Source organism: Homo sapiens, chromosome 4, assembly GCF_000001405.40.
Source record: "Homo sapiens chromosome 4, GRCh38.p14 Primary Assembly".
NCBI classification, from domain to species: Eukaryota; Metazoa; Chordata; class Mammalia; order Primates; family Hominidae; genus Homo; species Homo sapiens.
In genome coordinates, this window is record NC_000004.12 from 74114835 (window position 1) to 74139867 (window position 25033).

The window sequence follows — 25033 nt, forward strand, 5'->3', positions numbered from 1 at the left end:
GGATAGGCAGTGTGCTGGCTTTTTCTATGGATTAATTCATTTGATTCTCACACCAACCTCAAAAAGAAGGATTATTAGCCCTTGATAGATGAGGTAACTGGGACTCAGAGAAGTTGTGGAGCCAGGATTCTAGATCAAAGCATTAAGTCTTTGCTTCTGTGCTCTTTCACCTTGGCCAGGCAGCTGCCCTTGCCCAGTAAATGGTACATCACAGTAAGTGTTTTATTAAAATGCCATTTCCCTGAAACAAAGAAATGATGGTATTAGGGGGAGGGCAAGGGAGACATTTTGAGAATATTTAAGTATATATGATGACTATTTCTTCTTCAAATATCTATCTGGTATAAAACTACTATTCTGTTACTCTAATTATTTTTTGACCATAGGAGAGACTGCGACAGAAATTCCATTAGTGGATTTGAGATTGAGTTTAGAATATTTATTTAAGTAGAGCTAAGTGTGGCAATATCTGTCATATCTATTAGTTTGGAGAAATGAAGAAGCTTTTTTAGTTATAGATCCAGACACCAATGCTAATACCAAATACTACAGCCAGTGTTCTTCTGTCGCCATAGTTGTTACAAGTATGACAGCCTCCCAAGTCATTTATTGATTCAACTCCCTTTTTGTTTTAATGTTGACACACTAGTTTGTATGAACAATGAGCACACTAGCTCAGAAGAGGACAACAAGAATTAGCGCGGATGGTTCTTCCCCTTGAGGGGGTGCTCTGTCAGTATGAACATGCCTTCATGGGCAGAAATTAGGAGCCCACTAGCTGTTAATGAAGAGTGCTTTGCTTTCCTTTCAGACAGCAGTTTCCAAAGTTCCTCTTCTCCTTTAATGGCATTGCCCTTTAGTGTGTGTTAACCTGTGGTTTGAAAGAAATACTCGTGTATATTAGCAATGTAAATATAAGTGATTAAATTAAATTACATTTATCAATAAAAATAGCTATTATCGATAGCTGAATGCATAAAGTATGCAGCATCACATACGGATGAACTCACCGTTTGTCGTGCTACTACAGGTACATGCTCTACAAACACAGAAATTCTGATATTCTATGAAACATTATTAAATTCCAATTGAACATGATCATTCCAATCAAATAAGGGGAAAAAATATAAAGTATTTGTAATCAAAGACCCTGTATTGTTGAGTATATTCCTGAAGGGGAGGGGTTTGTTTTGTCTAGGATTGATATAAAGTGAATTATCTGCTTATGATTTTTCACTCTGATTATTGGAATAATATTCTCCACACTAGCTCCTGGATCTGTGCATTTCAACCTTGTCTCTTCCATACCTGCATCATTTTGGTATTGTGTATATTAGGACACATTCTGATTTCTGCATCAGAACGCTGAGTGAGTGTGCACAGTAAGCAAAGGAGTATACCTGGGAGCCAGTCTCACACCAGGATGGCTAGTAAAAACAGAACCATTCATAACATAACTGTCAACCAATAAAATACATATCACTAAAGCTAAACTAAATTCGAGTACCCTCAACTCAACTTCCCCCAGCCACATCTCAAAAACATGACTAGCTACTCCAACATCACCCAATATAAGGAGAACTGTAAAGAAATAAAGTCAGAGTGAGAGAAAAAAAAGCAGTCCTAATCAACTTGATTAAATATATGACTTCACAGCAAATTGCATAAAACTATATGACCACATGAGCACATTCCTAGGCCCTCCCAAGGCCCTGAAAAAAGCCTGAACTAGGGAGGGGCTCTAATTAGCTTAATGATACACTTACCTATGATTGTGGTTATGTCTTGATTTATCTGATTGGCATTGTTTTTTAAATTATCTAAAAGTGTTCATCCTTATTTTTAGGTTAGCAACTGTGACCCTAGTGACTAGTAACAGTAACAAATGAAAGAAGATGCTCTTGTATGGCCAAAACGATGAAACAGACCTACATGATTTTATGAAAAGTTTTCCTTGGCTTTGGTTCAAAGAGATTTTTCTTTCCTTGACACTAAAGTGGTAGTTTGCACTAGGCATATAGATACCGTTCTATCTTTCTGGTTCTCCACTTAAATGACACTCATGTCTGCTACATTAAAATTAGCTTGTTAGGTTTTATTTCACCAAGTTTATAAAGTAAACCACATATCGTTTTCTCTTTTGTAGATGCTGAAAGCAAAGTTCATGTGGGAAATGTTTGGCAATAGCTGATTTATCCTCAGGGTAACAATATTCTATAACTCCTTTGATCTTGAGGCCTCTGTGATGGAAATGCTTGGAGAAAGGGATTTTAAAGGGAGATTCTGAAGTCCTTGGGAAAGTCCACAAGTGGACGGGGCTTCATAGCCATGACAACAAATGACATTGTCTAGGAAACAGTGAGTCATGGCATGCTGAGCTTAGAATGGAGCCAACAGAAGGAACCTGGCCTCGGACACAGAATCTTTTGGCTGCTGACCCAGAATGACTGTGAAAGACTAACACTGTTTAGCAGATTTTTCTTGAGTGTTTACTATGTGTGAGGTTCCTGGGATTCAGATTCAGCTACTATTGTTAAGAGGAAATCAACCAGGAAGTCAGTTAAGAAAAGGTACAGTGGGTTTTCAGGCTGCAGGGTACAGAAATGTTCCCAGGCCTGGAGAACAAACCTTCAGATCTTAATCTGTACAGGGAGGTGGAGGGTGAAAGAATGATCTTTCAGGAAGCGTTCAAGTAGGGCTGCTGCTTGGATTGAATTTTAAAGAATGCATAGGTTATATGCAGGATCTATATATAGATCAATAGCTTCCCTGAGCACATGTTCAAAGGTTCAAACATTTGGGGTCATTTCTTTGCAAGAAGAGTCACTCAGTGGCCTGAAAGTCCATGCAGCAACTTCCCTCATGAGAGCTGCTTCCGCAGCAGGCCCAGGGTTTCTAAAGGAGAGAGCACACAGATGTAAACACTCTGTGGTTCTGAGGACTGTCACCTCTTCTTTTCACCCATCACTTTTGTCTTAAGAACTCTATGCTCAACCCTAATTCTCAGTCTCTATATCAATTCCCACCAAACAGATGCAAAGTCCTGTCCATTTGCTTCCATGAACTCTGTACTTATCGATGATATAATACTCTGCTGACTACATTTTACTTGCCACTTCATATCCTCACTAGACTGAAAGACCTATAAGGGAAGAGATATCTTATTTATATATCTTTCTTATATATCTTTCCCATATATCCTATTTACTGTTGTACTTACAACTCCTACAACCGTGCTTGGTACATAGGGTGTTGAAAAAGTATTTATGAAATTATGAATAACACTGATTCTATTAAATAACATTATTAAGTTAATGAACAAATAATTAAGCTTAGTAAAATATCAAAAGTTAAAGATATCAAAAACTAAACACTTATAGAATAAAAGTTTGCTTTTCTTGTCTAGTGAGCACATTAATACAGATTTTAACCCTCTTTTGTCCTCTCCTGATTCACACGAAAAAATACATAGGCCTCAGCTGTTCATTGGTGCCAGATAAAAATAAAGTACTTTTTAATTGTAATTACTGCAAAGGCTCTTCAACAGTGCACAGTATACCAGGAACTGAAACTTTTCTTATAAAACAAAATAAATATCAGTAGAAACAGAGCAAAGGCATTTCATTAAGTATTATGGACTGAATTGCATTCCCTGTAAATGTGTTAAAGTCTGAACTCTCAGTACACCTCAGAATATAACTGTATTTAGAAATAGGGCCTTTAAAGAGGTAGTTAAGATTAAATGAGATCATGTGGATTGGTCTTAATCTAAGATGACTGGTGTCATTATAAGAAGAGGAGAAGACACCAGAGATGCAACCACACAGAGAAAAGGTCATGTGAGCAGGGATCCCCAAACCCTGAGCCAAGAACTGACAGTGGTCCATGGCTTGTTAGGAACCATGCCACACAGCAGGAGGTGAGCCAAAGGCAAGGGAGCAAAGCTTCATCTGTATTTATAGCCGCTCCCCATTGCTCACATTACCTCCTGAGCTCTGCCTCCTGTCGGATCAGTGGTGGCATTAGATTCTCATAGGAGTGCACACCCTATTGTGAACTGCGCATGAGAGGGATCTAGATTGCATGCTCCTTATAAAGTCTAATGCCTGATGATCTGAGGTGGAGCTGAGGTGGTGATGCTAGCTCTGAGGAGTGGTTGCAAACACAGATTAACATTAGCAGAGAGGTTTGACTGCCCAGAGACCATAATAAATCAGTTGCCTGCAGACGCATATCAAAACCCTGTCAGTGAGTGGCAGGTGATAATTCAGCTGCATCTGGTGGCTGGCTTTATAGTGGCAAGTGCGTTGATGTACTTCAACTGTACAGCTGCATCTGGTTGCTGGCTTTATAGTGGCAAGTGAGTTGATGTACTTCAACTGTACAGCTGCATCTGGTGGCAGGCTTTAAGTCAGAATCTGACACTTATTTTAGTCCATGTGTGTCCTGCCCATTATTTTATTTGTCACTTCCATCCGCACCTCTTTCCTGCACTGCACACTTGTCTCAATCAGTTTTGGTAAGCCCACAAGCTAACCCTAGCCAAAATGAATAAAAACAATCATCACTGGAGAGTTTCTTTGAAAAGTGGGAAAGAACCAATGATGAGACAGCAGAAGACTCTAAGACTGCCAACAAAAAGAAAGCTGCATTTAAAAGAAAATACTGGCCGGGCGCGGTGGCTCATGCCTGTAATCCCAGGACTTTGGGAGGCCGAGGCGGGCGGATCACGAGGTCAGGAGATTGAGACCATCCTGGCTAACAAGGTGAAACCCCGTCTCTACTAAAAATACAAAAAATTAGCCGGGCATGGTGGCGGGTGTCTGTAGTCCCAGCTACTCAGGAGGCTGAAGCAGGAGAATGGCGTGAACCTGAGAGGCAGAGCTTCCAGTGAGCCGAGATCGTGCCACTGCACTCCAGCCTGGGTGACAGAGCGAGACTCCATCTCAAAAAAAAACAAAAAAAACAAAATACCATGAGTCCTACTTAAATTACAGGGTCATTGCACCAGATAATTCACATTCTCCAAGCCCTCTTTTTATAATATGTGGTGGTTGGCTATGCAATGAAGCCATGAAACCTTCAGAACTGCTTCACTGCATGGAAACCAAGCACCCTGTGTTAAACAAGACTTTGGAGTTTTTCAAAAGAAAAAAAAAAGATGAACAAGAAGAACAGAAGCAATTATTGAAGGCCACCATTTTATCAAATGTGTCTGTACTGACAGCATCATATCATTCGTAGTGGCTAACCACATTGCTAAAGTTAAGAAGCCCTTTGCTATTGGTGAAGAGTTGATTTTGCCTGCTGCTAAGGGTATATGTCATGAACTTTCAGGAGAGGCTGCAGTTCAAAAGGTGGCATGTGTTTCTCATTTGGCTAGCACATAACTAAATGATTAGATGAAATAGCAGAGAATGTTGAGGTACAATTGTTACAGAGAGTTAATGAGCCACCGCAGTACATGATTCAGGTTGATGAGTCTACCAATGTTGGTAAGGCAACAATGCTTACTTTTGTGCAATATATTTTTCAGAAGATGTGCATGAGGATATGTTATGTGCACTTTTGTTGCCAACTAATACCATAGCTGCAGAACTATTCAAGTCTTTGAATGATTGCATATCAGGAAAACTCAATTGGTCATTTTGTGTCAGTATATGCATGGACGGACCGACTGCCATGACTGGACAGCTTTCTGGTTTCACTACTTGGGTCAATGAGGTCACTTCTGAATGTAACTCTTCACACTGTGTCATCCGTAGAGAAATGTCGGCTAGCCAAAAAATGTCACCTAAATTTAACAATGTTTTGCAAGGTGTGATTAAAATTATTAACCACATTAAAGTGCATGCCCTTAACTCATATCTGTTCACACAGCTCTGCAAGGAGATGGACACAGAGCACACAGTCTTCTCTTATATACATAAGTGAGATGGCTTTCTAAAGGTAGATCACTGGCCAGAGTGTTTGAGTTATGAGAGCCACTCCAGAGACTTCTTTTAGAAAAACAGACACCACTGGCAGCACATTTCAGTGACACAGAATGGGTTAAAAAACTTGCTTACTTGTGTGACATATTCAACCTGTTCAGGGAATTCAATCTTTCACTTCAGAGGAAAATGACAGCTGTGTTCAAGTTGGCAGATAGAGGGGCTGCATTCAAAGCCAAAGTGGAATTATGGGGGCAACAAGTGAACAGTGAGATTTTTGACATGTTCCAAAATTAGCAAAGATTTTGAAAAAGACTGAGCCATGGCCTTCTTTCTCCCAGCTAGTGCATGATCACCTGTCTCAGCTTTCAAAAGAGTTTAAGCATTATTTTCTAACTACAAAAGACCCTAGAACTGGGAAGGAATGAATCTGTGACCCATTTGTGAATAAGCCAAGTGAACTGACTTTGTCCATCCTAGAAGAGGATCAACTGCTTGAGATGGCAAATGACAATGCCCTTAAAAGTATGTTTGAGACAACTTCAAATCTCCATACATTCTGGATTAAAGTCAAGGTGGAATATCCTGAGATTGCCACAAAAGTACTGAAAATCCTGCTTCCATTTCCAATATCCTATCTTTGTGAAGTAGGGTTTTCTGCAGCGACAGCAACCACAATGAGATTATGGAGTAGACTGGACATAAGCAATATACTGCAGGTGTCACTGCCTCCCATCACCTGCACATGGGACTATCTAGTTGCAGGAAAACAAGCTTAGGGCTCTCACTGATTCTACATTATGGTGAGTTGTATAATTATTTAATTATATATAATTAATTATTTAATTATATATAATTAATTATTTAATTATACATATATAATTATATATAATTAAATATATATTTAATTATATAATATATAAAAATATATAATTATTTAATTATATATATGGCGAGTTGTATAATTATATATTATAAATGTAATAATAATAGAAATAAAGTATACAATAAATGTAAATGCACTTGAATTATCCCTAAAGCATCCCCTTATCCCAATCCACAGAAAAATAGTCTTCTATGAAATTGGTCCCTGGTGCCAAAAAGGTTGGGGGCCATTGCATGTGAGGACACAATGAGAAGGCAACTATCTTCAAGCCAAGGAGAGAGTCCTCAGAAAAATATCAAACCTGTTGAAACCTTGATCTTGGACTTCCAGCCTCTAGAACTGTGAGAAAATAAATTCCTGTTGTGTAAGCCACCCAGTCTGTGGCATTTTGTTACAGCAGCCCTAGCAAACTAATATATTCAGCAATTCTTTTTTTTTTCTAGGACATAAACATATTTTAATGTCCTACTTCCTGGGGAGAAATCCTTTTAATTATTTTTGTGTATTTGGAAATAGGGGTTGTATTCCAAATTGTAGTCTACCATAAAGAACTACCTGAGGCTGGGTAATTTATAAGGAAAAGAGGTTTAATTGACTCACAATTCTGCAGGCTGTACAGGAAGCATGGCTGGAAAGCCACAGGAAACTTATAATCATGGTAGAAGGTGAAGGGGAAACAAGCACATCTTCACATGGTGACAGGAGAGAGAGAGAGTGAATGGGGAAGTGCCACACACTTTTACACCACCAGATCTCATGATAATTCACTGTCATGAGAAGAGCAAGGGGGAAATCCATCCCCATGACTTAATCACCTCACACCAGGTACCTCCCCCAACACTGGGAATTACAATTCAACTTGGGATTTGGGTGGGGACACAGAGCCAACCATAACAGGGATATATTATAATAAAACGTACTGAGAGGTACACAACAGCACCCTGGAATATTGCTGCCAAAAATGGACCTAATCATAAGGAAACATCAGATAAATTCAAATTGAGGAATTGTTCCAGAATAAACAAGACTAAAGCAACATGACAACTAAATGCAATACTTGAATCTGCATTGGATCCTGAAACAGTTTTATCTATCTATCCATCCATTTATCCACCCATAACGGTAAAGGATATTATTGGGATAATTGTCATAATTTGAATAAAATCTATAGATTAGGTATTAGCATTACATCACCATTAATTTCCTAGTTTTGATAGTTGTATTCTGCTTTTATAAGAGAATTTTCTTGTTCTTAGGAAATACTGGATAATCTGGGCAAAAAAATTCTGGAATTCTTTAGACTCTTCTTTCAACTTTTCCATATAAGTTTTAAGTTTATTTCAAAGTATGAATGCTATAAAATTAGGAATTCAAACAAAAATAATCAAATTGAGAGGTGTGTACATTTAACAAAACAGTTATATTAAATCAGGTTAAATTTTAAGCATGCTGAAAATTTGCTGAGACCTGGGAGTGTTTGTTTCTGCCAGTGTTAGTTTCAAAGTGCATAGTGGCATATTGAATTTTGTGTAATTTCCAGTAACATAGTGCAAGGATGAGTAGCCACACACATTTAGTGTTGCAATAATATAAAAAGCCTCAGGAGCACTCCAGCCAGCACAACAAGTCCCCAGGGACAGCTAAGCACTCCAGTGTCTAGGGACTGTGGGAAACTGGAAAGAAACAATCCAGTGTAAATATGACTTCTAAGCTGGCTGTTGCTCTACTGCTTTCTTGGCAGTTGCATGCTTTCTGTAGCACTGTGTGAAGGTAGGCTCATCTTTCTAATCAATAGAGTTTTCTTTTGTCTAAATATGATTCTCCGAAAGCAAGGCTATCCAAAATGCTTTGAGATTTGCTTATTAAAACAAAAAAAAATCCCCATTTGCATTCATTTGATGTTGTCATGAGTACAAAATAACTTTTGTGGGCCTTAGACATTTTTACCTTTGTGGGACTCTTCAGCCATCATAATATCAATACTTAAAATTTTTTTATGTAACTTAGAATGCTTCAACATTTTTTCTGTTTTAGGTAAAATTTAGGGGATTTTTATGGGCCCTAAAAATTTCTTTATTTCTGTTGTGAGAAAAAAATAACACTTTCTTAGATTCTAAAACTTCATGTTTTTCTTCCGACTTTAAAGGCAATTAAAACAATTTCATGGGCTTCTAAAATTATTGTGGGCCCTAGGCACTATGCCTACTGGCCCTAATGCATAAGTTACCCCTAATTTGCATTAAATTTGGAATTATTTAGGTTCTATCTCTATACCTCTCAGAAAAGTGTAATATTTGCATTGATGTAGACATTTAGTTGCTAAAATTCACAACTTGTCCTATAACACATATATCACTATATATACTTATATTCATTTATAATTTATATTATATTCCATTGGGGGGCACAGTTGGTTAATATTGCCTGTTAAAATTGAACTAGGTAACCACGTATTTTTACTCAGTGTTCTGCTGACAAAGGCTTAGACAGTAATCATTTTCTGCCTGCTTTGAAGAGTTTTGATGGGCCCTAGACCATCTTAAGATCCTGCTATATAACAAATAGTGTGTTTTTAGCATGCGTTTTCTGTATTTGCTTTTTCGTTTTATCAGCATTAAAAGTTTTTTTTTAAAAAAAATACAAGTCATCTCTGTAAAATAGTCATGTTTCTGTTTATTCTTTCTGAAGGTGATATATCTGTTGATAAGATCATTGTTTATCTCCTATAAATAACATTATAGCATCATGAAGAATACTGCAAAATCAAATAGAAGAATGGCCATATGGATATAAAATATTAATTTTAATAAATTTATAGTTTTATGTATTTATATATTTATATATTAGTTTTTATATTGACATTCAAAATAGTCAGTGAGAATCATTTTGAAAGAAAGGAAATTAATTTCAAGGGTTGGTCTAAAACTAGTCTTTCTATTTGTAGCAACCTGTTTCGTTAAGACATTTCTCATGGTCCTAAAAATCATCATATTCAAATTTAAAGGGTATCTAGCAGAGTTGTGCCCTTTGATGAAAGCAGTCCTTACTTCCTTGCTATGTTCACTGCTTCCATTGTGCCAAGTATTAGTACAGTACCACAATGCCAGTGCATGAGGACACATTTTATACCTTTGCATCCCAAATTTATTAAAGAACTCAGAATTATTCAGAGTGGATTATATTATAAAAATTAAGAAATCATGTAAGTACTTTCAAAAGTTCTTAGTTATTTTGCTTCTGTACATGTAGACTGTTTAGGTGCTGAGAGTACAATGGTAAACAGAACAGCAAAAAAAAAAAATTCTGTCTTTACAAATAACATGGTACTGACATCTGGTTAGTTTTAGCTATTGTGTCTCCCTTGCTTCTGAATTCCAGAGCAATACTTTCATTTTTTGATATAAGCAAATTCTAAAACACATTGTGGGGAGGTAGATAATCTGACATTTTGCAGAGTTAAAGTAATTAGAGAAGCACAAGAAAGTTTCGAAAATGATAATTAAATTTGAAATAGGAATTAGCATGAGTGAAGCAACTCCAGGTACATGTTGATTAACCCAAGTAATATGACTCCAGGTATCCTGGGAATTCCTTTCACTGTGAAAGCTGCAATCAGTGGCCTTTGGAAAAGTAAGTGGGGTTCCTGCAGCTCCCAGAAAATTGTGAAAAAATCCTGTTGGGATCATTTCCATTTACCACTGAGCCAAATGACCATGATTTCCAACTGCAAAGGGATATCTAAAACCAGATAAGTAATTTACCTAAGTAGTCTTTTTCACTCTTTAGTGTGAAGCTTATTCATGAAGAGACCTCTGCCTGAACATACAGCAAATTTAAGAAGGTTGTGCAGATAGTCTGAAGGAGGTGAGTTAGTTTTTCCCACTTTCTCAAATTTCTCAAATTTCATTTGTCATGAAACTAATAGGAAAGATTCACAAATGTCAGTTTAAGAGTTTTACCTAATGGAATCTCACTTTTATTTATTTTTTTGCTTCTATTTAAAAGCTTTTTTTTCAATGATAGAAAAAATGCTAGCGATAGTAATTTGCTTTTTTAATAATGGAAAATGTAGAGCAATATAGCAAACCTCAAAGAGTATTGATTTCTCAAAACAAAAGCATAACAAAATTTGTTTATTCTCTTTTAATTTATGGTTTTAAAAATTTTACTTGTATTTAGAAATAAGGAAAAATGAATAAGAAAAAATTAAAGAGCATTCTTCCATGGTTTCCAAGAATTTCTTATTAAATATGTTAACAAAACTCGAAGTGAATAAAAGTTAGAGCTATAGCCTATGCTATTGGATACCCACCCATATCATCTGATCTGCACCACTTCAATGCTCACTGTTTTGTCTTCCAAGGGCTTTCTCTGGTTACCAGCGTCCACTATACTAGCAAGGCCCAGGTTGGAAATATTGGAAAATTAATGGCCTTGGGCGCAGTCTTTAACTAATGACCCACTAAAGCAGTGTACTGTAAGTCCTCACTTAACCTCATCAATAAATTCTTGGAAACTGTGACTTTAAATGAAATGAATAGCAAAACAGATTTTATTATAACTTATTTGATAGAAATAATAGTTAAGTTTCTAAGGCATATTTCTAGTCACAAAACATCATCAAACTGCCAAATAAAGATCAAAATAATTCTAATATTAAACACTGAAATATATGTGAACTATATATACATTTCGGAAAGATTAATAAAAAGAAGATAATTACTCAATTTTTGGTGAATCTGTGAGTGACAAAGGTCATAGTAGTGGTGGGTGATGTGGGGAGGGATGTTTACTCCTTATCCTAGTGAGGAGTAAACATGAGTCTTCCAATATCCACACCTTGCTGTCCATCATCAAATCTCTTAAAATATCTAGTTTTGTTTCTAATGTCACACTTTTTCTCTGGTGTGTGTGTGTGTGGCCATAGACGTAAGAAGAGGTGGATAGTGCAACTTTAAAGTTTATTACAACAAAGTTAAGTCAGGGAATGAATATGTAAGAAGCACCCCCTACCAGTATATAATTCAAAAACAAACATAAAAAATATGGTGCCCTCCCTGAGCTCATACGATATCTTTTATTGTCATGTACTTGTATGATTATTGTATACTTTATATTTTTTTATTTTTTCATTAATACATAATAGATGTACATATTTTGGGGATACTTGTGATAATCTGATACATTCATGATATGGTTTGGCTGTTTCCCCATCCAAATCTCATCTTGAATTTCAGTTCCCATAATCCCCATGTGTCGAGGAAGGGACCCGGTGGGAGGTAATTGAATCATGGGGGCGATTTCCCCCATGTCGTTCTCCTGATAGTGAATGAGTTATCATGAGGTCTGATGGTTTTACAAGAGGCTTCCCCTTTGACTTGGCACTCATTCTCTGTCCTGCCGCTCCGTGAAGAGGTGCATTCTGCCATGATTGTAAGTTTCCTGAGGCCTCCCCGGCCCTGCCGAACTGTGAGTCAATTATGCCTCTTTTCTTTATAAATTGCCCAGTTTGGGGGCAGTTTTTTATAGCAGTGTGAGACTGAATTAATACAATCAAATCAGGGTAATTGGGATGTACATCACCTTAAATACTTTTCTTTGTGCCAGGAACATTTGAATTATTCTCTTCTAGCTATTTTGAAATGTACAATAGATTGACTTACCCTACTGAACTATGGAACACAATGTCTTATTTCTTTCAATTAACTGTATAGTTGTCCTCACTATTCAATCTCTGTTCTTCCTCCTCACTTCCAACAATTCTTGGCCTTGGTAACCATCAATCTACTCTCTATCTTCATGATATCTACTTTTGTGTCTCCCACATATGAGTGAGAATAGGCCATATTTGTCTCTCTGTGCTTGGCTTATTTCACTTAACATAATGACCTCCAGTTCCATCTATGTTGCTGCAAATGACAGGATTGCATTAGTTGTTGTGGCTGAAAAATATTCAATTATGTATATATACCACAGTTTCTTTATACACTCATCCATTGATGGACACTTAGGTTGATTACATATTTTGTCTATTGTGAATAGTGCTGCAATAAATATGGGATTGCAGATACCTCTTTGATATACCGATTTTCTTTCTTTTGGATATATACCCAGTAGTTAATTGCTGGGTCATGTGTAGTTCTATTTTCAGTTTTTGGAGGAACCTCCATACCGTTTTTCATAGTGGTCATTTTAATTTACTTTCCCACCAACATGTATGAGGGTTTCCCTTTCTCTCCATCCTCGCCAGCATCTGTTATTACCTGTCATTTTGATAAAGGCCATTGTAAGTGGGGTTAGATGATATCTCATTGTGGTTTGGATTTGCATTTTTCTGGTGACTAGTGATGTTGAGTATTTTTTTCATATAACTGTTGGCCATTTGTATGCCTTCATTTGAGAAATGTCTGTTCAGATCTGTTGTCCGTTTTAAAATCAGATTATTTTGTTTTGCGCTATTGAATTGTTGGAGCTCCTTATATATTCTTGTTACTAATACTTGTGAAATGGATAGTTTATAAAAATTTTCTCCCATTCTGTCTCTTTACTTTGGTGATTGTTTTTCTTGCTGTGCAGAAGCTTTTTAGCTTTATGTAATCTCAATTGTCAATTTTTGTTCTTATTGCCTGTGCTTTGCCCAGCCCAATGTCCTAGAATGTTTCCCCAATGTTTTCTTCTAGTAGCTTCATAGTTTCAGGTCTTAGATTTAAGTCTTTAATTCATTTTGATTACATTTTTGTATAGCCTGAGACATAGGGGTCTAATTTCACTCTATGCATATGGTTATCCAGTTTTCCCAGCACCATTTATGAAAGAGACTGCCCTTCCCCCATTGTCTATTCTTGGTGTCTTTGTAAAAAATGACTTGGCTATAAATGTGTTTATTGATATCTGGGTTCTCTATTCTATTCCATTAGTGTACATGTCTGTTTTTCTACCAACCATGCTAATTTGGTTACCATACCTTTGTAGTATGTTTTAAAGTTGGATAGTGTGATGCTTCCAGCTTTGTGTTTTTTACTCAGGATTGCTTTGGCTATTCAGGGAATTTTTTAGTGTGTGGTTCTATGTAAATTTGAGAATTTTTTTCTATTTATGGGAAGAAAGTCAGAATTTTGACAGGGATTGCATTGAATCTCTAAATTGCTTGTCATTCTTGAAGGCAGCATGTACTTGGGTCTTGTTTCTTTATCCATTCAGCACCTCTATAACTTTCAATTGGAGAATTGAGACCATTTGTATTCAGTGCTATCATTGACAAGTAAGGACTTACTACTGACAATTTGTTTCTTGTTTTCTGGTTGTTCTGAGACTCTTCTCTTCCTTTATTACCATCTTCCTTAGTGGTTAAGTGATTTTCTCTGACAGTAAGCTTTTAATTCATTGTTTTTTTATTTTTACTGTAATATTATAGGTTTTTGCATTGTGGTTACCTTGAGGCTTACAATAAACATCTTTTAAATATAACAAGTTATTTTAAGGAGATGACAACTTAGATCACAAATGAAATAGAAATAAAAGAGAAAACTAAAAAACAAAACTGTTCACAAGAATATTCAGGACTTGAACTCAGCTCTGGCTCAAGCAGACCTAATAGACATCCACAGAACTCTCCACCCAAAATCAACAGAATACACATTCTTCTCAGCCCCACATCATCCTTATTCTAAAATTGACCACATAATTGGAATAAAACACTCTTCAGCAAATGCAAAAGAACAGTAATCATAATAAACAGACTCTTGGACCACAGTGCAATCAAATTAGAACTCAGGATTAAGAAACTCACTCAAAACCACACAACTACATGGAAACTGAACAATCTGCTCCCGGATAACTAAATGAAACAAAGGCATAAATAAATAAGTTATTTAAAACCAATTAGAAGAAAGACACAACATACCAGAATCTCTGGGACACAGCTAAAGAAGTGTTTAGAGGAAAATTTATAGCACTAAATGCCCACAGGAGAAAGTGGGAAAGATCTAAAATCGACATCCTAACATTACAATTAAGAGAACTGGAGAAGCAACAGTAAACAAATTCAAAAGCTAGCAGAAGACAAGAAATAACTAAGATCAGAATAGAACTGAAGGAGACAGAGACACGAAAAACCCTTCAAAAAAATGAATGAATCCTGGAGCTGTTTTTTTTGAAAAGATTAACAAAATAGATAGACCACTAGCCTGACTAATAAAGAAGAAAAGAAAGAAGAATCAAATAGACACAATAAAAAATGACCAAGGGGATATCACCACTGATCCCACAGAAATACAAACTACCATCAGAGAATACTATAAACACCTCTACACAAATAAAATAGAAAATCTAGAAGAAATGGACAAATTCCTGGACACATACACCCTCCCAAGACTAAACCAGGAAGAAGTCGAATCCCTGAATAGACCAATAACAAGTTCTGAAATTGAGGCAGTAATTAATAGCCTACCAACCAAGAAAAGCCCAGGACCAGACAAATTCACAGCCGAATTCTACCAGAGGTACAAAGAGGAGATGGTACCATTCCTTCTGAAACTATTCCAAACAATAGAAAAAGAGAGACTCCTCCCTAACTCATTTTATGAGGTCATCATCACCCTGATACCAAAACCTGGCAGAGACACAACAAAAAAAAGAAAACTTCAGGCCAATATCCCTGATGAACATTGATGCGAAAATCCTCCATAAAATACTGGCAAACCTAATCCAGCAGCACATGAAAAAGCTTATCCACCATGATCATGTCCGCTTCATTCCTGAGATGCAAGGCTGGTTCAAGATATGCAAAAAAATAAATGTAATTCATCACATAAACAGAACCAATGACAAAAACCACACGATTATCTCAATAGATGCAGAAAAGGCCTTCAATAAAATTCTGCACCCTTCCTGCTAAAAACTCTCAATACACTAGGTCTTGATGGAACAAATTTAAAAACAATAAGAGCTATTTATGACAAACCCACAGCCAATATCATACTGATTGGGCAAAAGCTGGAAGCATTCCCTTTGAAAACCGGCACAAGACAAGGATGCCCTCTCTCACCACTCCTATTCAACATAGTATTGGAAGTTCTGGCCAGGGCAATCAGGCAAGAGAAAGAAATAAAGGGTATTCAAATAGGAATAGAGGGAGTCAAATTGTCTCTATTTGCAAATGACATGATTATATATTCAGAAAACCCCATCATATCAGCCCAAAATCTCCTTAAGCTTTATCAGCAACTTCAGCAAAGTCTCAGGATACAAAATCAATGTGCGAAAATCACAAGCATTCCTATACACCAATAATAGACAAACAGAGAACTAAATCCTGAGTGAACTCCCATTCACAATTGCTACAAAAAGAATAAAATACCTAGGAATACAACTTACAAGGGATGTGAAGGACCCTTCAAGAAGAACTACAAACCGCTGCTCAAGGAAATGAGAGGACACAAACAAATGGAAAAACATTCTATGCTCATTGATAGGAAGAATCAATATTGTGAAAAAGGCCATACTGCCCAAAGTAATTTATAGATTCAATGCTATCCCATCAAGCTACCATTGACTTTCTTCACAGAATTAGAAAAAGCTACTTTAAATTTCATGTGGAAACAAAAAAGAGCCCATATAGCCCAGACAATCCTAAACAAACAGAAAAATGCTGCAAGCATCATGCTACCTGACTTCAAACTATATTACAAGTCCACAGTAATCAAAACAGCATGGTACTGGTAACAAAATAGATATACAGACCAATGGAACAGAACATAGGCCTCAGAAATAACACCACTCATCTACAACCATCTGATCTTTGACAAACGATAAAAATAAGCAATAGGGAAAGGATTCCTTATTTAATAAGTGGTGTTAGGAAAACTGGCTAGCCATATGCAGAAAACTGAAACTGGACCCCTTCCTCACACCTTAAACAAAAATTAACTCAAGATGGATTAAATACTTAAACATAAGGCCTAAAGCTATAAATGCCCAAGAAGAAAACCTAGGCAGTACCATTCAGGACACAGGCATGGGCAAAGTCTTCATGACTAAAACACCAAAAGCAATGGCAGCAAAAGCCAAAATTGACAAATGGGATCTAATTAACCTAAGGAGCTTCTGCACAGCAAAAGAAACTATCATCAGAGTGAACAGGCAACCTATAGAATGAGAGAAAAATTTTGCAATCTATCCATCTGACAAAGGGCTAATATCCAGGATCTACAAAGAACTTAAACAAATTTACAAGAAAAACAAACAAACATGCCCATCAAAAAGTGGGTGAAGGATGTGAACAGACACTTCTTAAAAGAAGACATTTATGCGGCCAAAAAAACATATATAAAAAGAAAGCTCATTATCACTGGTCATTAGAGAAATGCAAATCAAAACCACAATGAGATACCATCTCACACTAGTTAGAATGGCAATCATTAAAAAGTCAGGAAACAACAGATACTGAAGAGGAAGTGGAGAAATAGGGATGCTTTTATATTGTTGGTGGGAGAATAAATTAGTTCAGCCATTATGGAAGACAATGTAGCGATTCCTCAAGGATCTAGAACCAGAAATACCATTTGACCAGCAATCTCATTACTGGATATATACCCAAAGGATTATAAATCATTCTACTATAATCACACATGCACAGGTATGTTTCTTGCAGCACTATAGCAATAGCAAAGATGTCAAACCAACCCAAATACCCATCAATGATAGATTGGATAAAGAAAATGTGGCACATATACACCATGGAATACTATGCAGCCATAAAAAAGGATGAGTTCACATCCTTTGCAGAGACATGGGTGAAGCTAGAAACCATCATTCTCAGCAAACTAACACAAGAACAGAAAACCAAACACCACATGTTCTCACTCATAAGTGGGAGTTGAACAATGAGAACACATGGACACAGGGAGGGGAACATCACACACCAGGGCCTGTCAGAGGGTGGGGCGCTAAGGGAGGGACACCATTAGGAGAAGTACCTAATGTAGATGACGGGTTGATGGGTGCAGCAAACCACCATAGCACATGTATACCTATGTAACAAACCTGCACATTCTGCACATGTATCTCAGAACTTAAAGTATAATAATAATGAAAAAAATGCTCTACACTTTAACTCCACACCTCCCACAAACACTTTGAATTTTTATTATATCAGTTCGCATATTTTAAAAATATCTATTTTGAACAGGTTGTTGTCGCTATTATTGTTTTTGATAGATTTGTCTTTATAAGCTTCTTACTAGAGTTATGATTGGATTGCACACCACAATTAAATTATTAGCATATTCTGGGGTTGTGTTCATACTTAATTTTACCAGTGGGTTTTATACCTTGAAATATTTTCTTTTAGTTAGTACACTAATATGTTAGCATTTTTTAATTTCAGGTTGAAGAATTCCCTTTAGCATTTCTTGCAAGACGGGTCTAGTAGTGGTGAATTCTCTTAGCTTTTGTCTGTGAAAGACAATTTCTCTTTGTTAATGCTGCCCTATTTCCTTCTGGCCTACATGGTTTCCATTGTGAAGTCTGTTGCCAGATGAACTGGAGTTGCTTTGTTATTTTACTCTTTTGCTGCTTTCTGGATCTTCTCTTTGTCTTTGATATTTGAAAGTTCAATTATTATATGCCTTGGTTAGTGTTACTTGGGTTGAATCTGTTTGGTGTTCCCTGACCTTTCTATATCTAGATATTTCTGTCTTTCATGAGTTTTGGAAAGTGCTCTGTTATTATTTCTTAGGATAAGCTTTTCTCCCCTTGCTCTTGCTCAGCTCCCCCTTAAACACCAATAATTTTTAGATTTGGTCTTTTGAGGTAATTTTCTATATTTTAAAGGTGGCCTTCATTTCTTTTTATTGTTTTTTTCTTTTCTTTCTTTGGACTGTATTTTCTTAATAGCCAGTCTTTGAGCTCACTGATTCTTTTCTCTAACCCATTCTGTTATTGAGATCCTCTAAAGAGTGTTTCAATTCAGCAAATGTGGTTCTCCGTTCCAAGATTTCTGTTTCATTTTTAAATTATTATTTCAATTTTCTTGTTAAATTTCTCTGATAAGTATCTGAATTGTTTTTCTATGTTATCTTGTAGGTCACTGAGTTTCCTTAAAATTGCTATTTTGAATTCTTAGTTATAAAGTTCACATATCGGTTTTCTAATCCCAAAATGGCAGCATAGAAGCAAGCTTGCTTCTCTCCCCTCCACCAGAAACCAAAAAGAAATACACAGCAGCAAGATCTTCACCAGCAGCAACCCAGAGATCCTGTATGAGGATGAGACAGTTCCTGTAGGTACAGAGAAGTGGAAACATTCTGAGCAGATGGTAGGAGAACCAGATTCTACATCCATGAGGCCTCTTCCCTGCATTACACCAGGCATCAGCAGTATGAAAAATCTGCCCTCAACTCATGGTTTCTGCACTGAAAAACGTGAAATTGAGATTGTCAACCAGCTTTCCCATCTTCTTCGGTTTCCTGCCAGGAGACCTGCCTTTGCCTTAAACCACAGGTAGCACTGTGACTGCCTGGAGGGAGAAATGTCTGTGAAGGCTGGCAAAGACAAATAGGGAAGCCAGGACTACCATCCTCAGCCGTAAAAACTCCTTGTAACTTGACCAAAGGAGATGCCAAATCAGTAGAAATCATGTAGCAAGTATGTTCCACAAGTCCCCTGGGAACACACCCGTGGCCGGCCTTCCCACAGTGCTAGGGTAATCCCTTTGGTCCTCCTCCTTATGGGACAGGCAGTGCCATGGCCATTTGCAAAAGTCAAGGTAAACATAGGCTTATGGCGCCATCTAGAGCCGAAAACAAGGCAGCAAGCTGGCAGTTAAGATTCATAAGCAACTGTATTCAATAAAAACCAAACCAAACTAGACAGATAAAGCTGGACTAAATAATTATTAATACAAATACATAGATGTATACCCACAAGAAACAACAGCAAACATGGAACCATAACCTTCTAGACAAAGCAAAGTTCCAGCGACTGACCCTCCTGAGATGGCGATTTGTGAACTCTCTGACCAAGAATTCAAAACAGCTGTTTTAAGGAAACTTTGTTATCTCTAAGATAACACAGAAAAGCAACTCAGATATTTATCAGAGAAATTTAACAAGGAAATTGAAATAATGATAAGCAGAAATCTTGTAACTAAGAACTACATTTGCTGAACTAAGAAACTCTTCAGGGGATCTCAACCACAGAATAGGTCAAGCAGAGAAGAGAATCAATGAGCTCAAAGACTGGCTGTTAAAAAATAAACAGAGGAGAGAAAAGAAAAAAAGAATGAAAATGAGAGAAGGCCACTTACAAGATATAGAAAATTACCTCAAAGACAAAATCTAAAAATTATTGATGTTCAAGAGAGAGCAGAGCAGGAGCAAGGGTAGAAAGCTTATTCAAAGAAATAATAAGAGAATACTTTCCAAAACATGAGAAAGATATAAATATTCAGGTACAGGAAGGCCTTAGAGCATCACATTAGTCAAATAAGACTAATGAAGGTATTTACTAATCAAACTGTCAAAGATCAAGCATAAAGATAAAACTGTAATGGCAGCAAGAGAAAAGAAGCAAGCAGCATATAAAGGAGCTCCAAATCATCTTTAGCCAGAATAAGAAAAAAAGAGAGAAGACCCAAATAAATAAAAGTAGGAACAAAAATGGACACATGACAACTGAGACCTCAGAAATACTAAGAATCATTAGAAACAATTAGGAACCATTACATGCCAACAAATTGGAAAATATAGAAGAAATGGATAAATTCCTGGACACATGCAACCTACCAATATTGAACCATCAACAAATAGAAAACCTCAATAAGCCAATAATGAGTTATGAAATCAAAGCCATAATAAAAAGTCTCCCATCAAAGAAAAGCTCACGGCCTGATAACTTCACTGCTAAGTTCTACCAAACATTTAAAGAACTAATACCAATTCTATTCAAATACTTCAAAACGATTAAAGAGGAGAGAGGGAATACTTTCAAACTCATTCTACAAGGCCAGTGTTACTGTGATACCAAAACCAGACAAGGACACATTTTTTTTTTAAAGAAGCTAGAGGCCAATATCACCAGTGAACACAGATGTAAAAATCTTCAGCAAAATACTCATTTACCATTGTCAAGTAGAATTCATTCCAGAGATACAGGATGGTTCAACATATGCAAATCAATACATGTTATACACGACATTAACAGAATCGAGAATGAGAATCATATAATTATTTCAATAGATGCCATAAAGGTAAAGGCATTTGATAAAATTCAACATTCCTTTATGATAAAAATCCTCAACAAACTGGGCATAGAAGAAACATACCTGAAAATAATAAAAGCCATCTATGACAAACCCATAGCTAACAACACACTTAACAAGGAAAAATTGAAGGCCTTTCCTCTAAAGGCTAGACCAAGATAAGAATGCCCACTTTCACTATTATTTTGCTGTTATTCAATATAATACTGGAAGTCCTGGCCAGAGCAATTAGGTAAGAAAAAGAAATGAAGGAAAACCAAATTGGAAAGGTAGAAGTCAAATTAGCTTTGTTCATCTTATATGCAGAAAAACCTAAAGACTCTACCAAAAAAAACTGTTATAACTCATACAGGAATTTAGTAAAGTTGTAGGATACAAAATCAATGTACAAAAATTAGTAGTGTTTCTACACACCAAGACTGATCTAGCCAAAAATGAAGTCAAGAAGGCAATCTCATTTAAAACTACAAAGAATATGCAATACCTGGGAATCAATTGAAACCAAAGATGTGAAAGACCTACACAAGAAAAACTATAAAACTCTGGTGAAAGAAATAGAAGAAAGCACCAAAAAATTGGAAAAATATTCTCCGCTCATGGATTGGAAGACTTAATATTGTTAATATGACAATACTACCCCAAACAATTTCCAGACTCACTGCAATCCCCATCAAAATTCCAATGACATTCTTCACAGAAATGTTTTAAAAATCTGAAATTCATATGGAACTGCAAAAGATCCTAAATAGCCAAAGCAATCCTGAACAAAAAGAACAAAGCTGTATACATCACACTACCTGACTTCAAATCTATTACAAAGCTATAGTAACCAAAACAGTATGGTACTGGCATAAAAACAGACAGATAAATAAAACAGAATAATAATCTGGAAATAAATCCATGCATTTGCAGCCAATTCATCTTCAGCAAAGGCATTAAGAGCCTAAAATGGGGAAAGGTCAGCCTTTTCAATAGGTGGTGCTGAGAAAATTGGATAACTATATGCAGAAGAAAGAAACTAGACCCCTATCTCTCACCATACACAAAAATTAAATCAAAATGAATTAAAGACTTGAATCTAAGACCTAAAACCATGAACTACTAGAATAAAACTCTGAGGAAATACTTCAGGACAATGATCTGGACAAAGATTTCTTGTGTAACCTCTAAAGCACAGGCAACCAAAGCAAAAATAGACAATTGGGATTACATCAAACTATAAAACTTTTGAATAGCAAAGGAAACAATCAACAGAGTGAAGAAACAACCCAGAATGGGAAAAAACAATTGCAAGCTATTTATCTGACAAGGGATTAATAACTAGAGTATATAGAAATCTCAAACAATTCAATAGGAAAAAAATGTAAACCTTAATTTAAAAATGGACAACATGTCTGAATAGACACCTCTCAAAAGGAAATATACAAATGACTAACAGCTATATTAAAGTAATGCTCAACAGTACTATATATCAGAGAAATGCAAATTAAAACCACAATGAGATATCATCCCATCCCAGTTAAAATGGCTTGTATCAAAAAGATAGATAATAACAGATGCCGGCAAGGATGTGGAGAAAGGGGAATTCTCATACACAGTTGGTGGGAATTAGTACAGCCAGTACAGAAGATTGTACAGAGGTTCTTCAAAAAACTGAAAATAGAACTACCATATGATCTAGCTATTTCACTACTGGGTATATACATTTAAAAAATCAATATATCAAGAAGATATCTGCATTCCCATGTTTACTGCTGCATTATTCACAATAGGCAAAATATAGAATCAATTTAAGTGCCCATAAATGGAGGAATGGATAAAGAAAACGTGGTACATATACACAATGGAATATTATTCAATCATAAGACGTATGAAAGCCTGTCATGTTCAGCAACATGGATGGAACTTGAGATCACTATGTTAAGAGAAATAAGCCAAGCACAGACAAACAAATATGGCATGTTCTTGCTCTTGTGTGGGAGCTAAAAAAAGTGGATATCATGAAGATACAGATTGATGGTTACCAGAGACCAAGAATGGCAGTGGGAATGAGGGAAATAAGAGAGGGGGGAAAAATAATATAAATATATTTATTACCAATGAGCTTTACACTTAACAATGGTAAATTTTATACATAAATTTTATATATATATATATACACATACACTTTTTTATTTTAAGAAAAATAAATAAATAAGTAAATTCGGCCTTACCTTTCAAAAAAAAGTTGACATATCTCTGTCTTGTTAGGGTTAGACAATGGTTCCTTGCTTTGTCTGTTTGGGTTGGTCATGGCTCCTCCTTTGCTATTATTTCTTTTCGATGTACATCTATGTCTTTGCATTGAAGTATCAAATATTCCAGTCTTCTCTGTCTGGCTTTGTTACAGGCGGGTCTTTGTTGTTAGAGCTCCCAAGATGTGGCAGGCAGCTCCCAAGATGGGGGCGGGCTGCTCCCAATACGGCAGCAAACCTTTTGTCCTCTGACCTGGGGTTCTTGGCCTCACGGATTCCAAGGAATGGAACCTTGGGCCATGCGGTGAGTGTTACAACTCTATTAGAAGTCATGGGTCATGGTAGAGAACTGTGGAACCCAGCGACTAGTGTTAAGCTCAATTAGGACAAACCTGGGCACTTAACCATGCAGGAACAATGGCGAGCCTTTAGCCCGATCCAGAGCGGCAATGGGAACCTCGCTGGATCAGGAGCGCAGCAGACACCCTGCTGGATCCGGAGGAGTGGAAGTCAATGGAGGGTCTGGGAGGGCAGCAAACAGCAGTGGTGGATGGTGAGCAAAAGCTCAGCTCGAGTGTAAGAAACATGGACCAGAAGAGTGTTCAGTAGCAAGATTTAATGGAGTGAAAACAGAGCTCCCATACAATGGGAGGGGACCCAAAGCGGGTTGCCGCTCCCTGCTCAAATGCCTGGGTTTATATCCCAATCATTGTCCCTCCCTCTGTGCTCTCAGGCGATATAGATTTGACTATTTCTTTACCTCCTACTTTAGCCTAATTTGTATTTTAGTGAGCCGTCTTTACTACCTGATTGGTTGAGTGTGAGCTGAGTTATAAGCCCAGTGTTTAAAGGTAGGTGCAGTCACCTTCCCCAGCCAGGATTAGGAATTCTTAGTTGGCCTAGGAAATCCAGCTAGTCCTGTCTCTCAGCTTGTTTTGGTGTTTATTGGGTATGTTTGCATAGACAGTCTTTGTAATTTACCTGTAGAATTTCTTATTTGTTTTTCCACTAGGTCACTGTCTCTTATTTGGCAGTAGAATGTGTCTGAAGCCCAGGTTTGCCCTAGCTCTAGAAAAAGATTAGGAGGACCTGGGAAGGTCCCAAAGGTGATACCCTAGGGGATGGCTAGTGGGGATTCATAAGGAGGGAACCTATGGATGGTACTTCTTACAGCATGGTGCTGATGAATAGCTACTCTGATTTGGCATCTCCTTTGGCCAAGTTGCACAGCAGAGTATCCAGGGCTAGGGATGGTAGTGCTGCCTTCTCCGTTTGTGTCTGGCTGTCCTCAGGGGTATTTCTCCCTTCAGACACTTGTGATGCTTCCTGTAGGTTGAAGCAGTAACTGATCTCCTGCCAGAGAGCCCAAGATGGTGGAAAAGCTGGTAGTCCACCTCCATCTCACTCTTCCCATGAGTTGGGGGAAATGTTCCACAAACTTGGTTCCAGGCAGACTGGGAGGAAAGCAGTCTTGGAAATGGAAACTTGAGTCTCTTACTGTCTGCTCAAAGTTTTTTTCACTTCTTTGTGGACCTGGGAACTAACTCATTCTCATATTTGAATTCTGGGATATTGTTGGTGATAAAGCACTGCTTCTGCTGCACTCCCCCAATTTTGACATGTTCTCTTTTAATTTTCCTTTGGGTCAAAAATAGTTTCTAATTTCTCTTTTCATGTCTTTTTCATTTCCTAGATTAGTAAATGTTTGTTGTCATTTTTA

General features: G+C 36.9%; 1 protein-coding gene and 1 long non-coding RNA gene across 10 annotated transcripts in view; one reads left to right on the plus strand and one right to left on the minus strand.

Annotated features, from left to right (window-relative positions):
* The window catches only part of MTHFD2L (methylenetetrahydrofolate dehydrogenase (NADP+ dependent) 2 like), a 188540-nt gene that overhangs the window by 275 nt on the left and 163232 nt on the right, over positions 1 to 25033 (plus strand). For 6 of the 9 annotated variants that reach the window (XM_047415712.1, XM_047415715.1, XM_047415716.1 and 3 more), the window contains exon 2: positions 10606 to 10683. The gene's annotated coding sequence lies outside the window, so the exon portion shown is untranslated. Of the gene's footprint in view, positions 1 to 8438; positions 8590 to 10395; positions 10450 to 10605; positions 10684 to 25033 lie in introns of those variants that run through there. The other 3 variants (NM_001351310.2, NM_001351311.2, XM_017008218.3) reach the window with 2 other exon arrangements.
* On the minus strand, positions 425 to 23361 carry LOC105377277 (uncharacterized). The gene is made up of 2 exons (XR_938878.2): positions 23293 to 23361; positions 425 to 871 (listed from the first exon to the last, which is right to left on the minus strand). It is a non-coding gene; the product is annotated as an uncharacterized LOC105377277 (long non-coding RNA).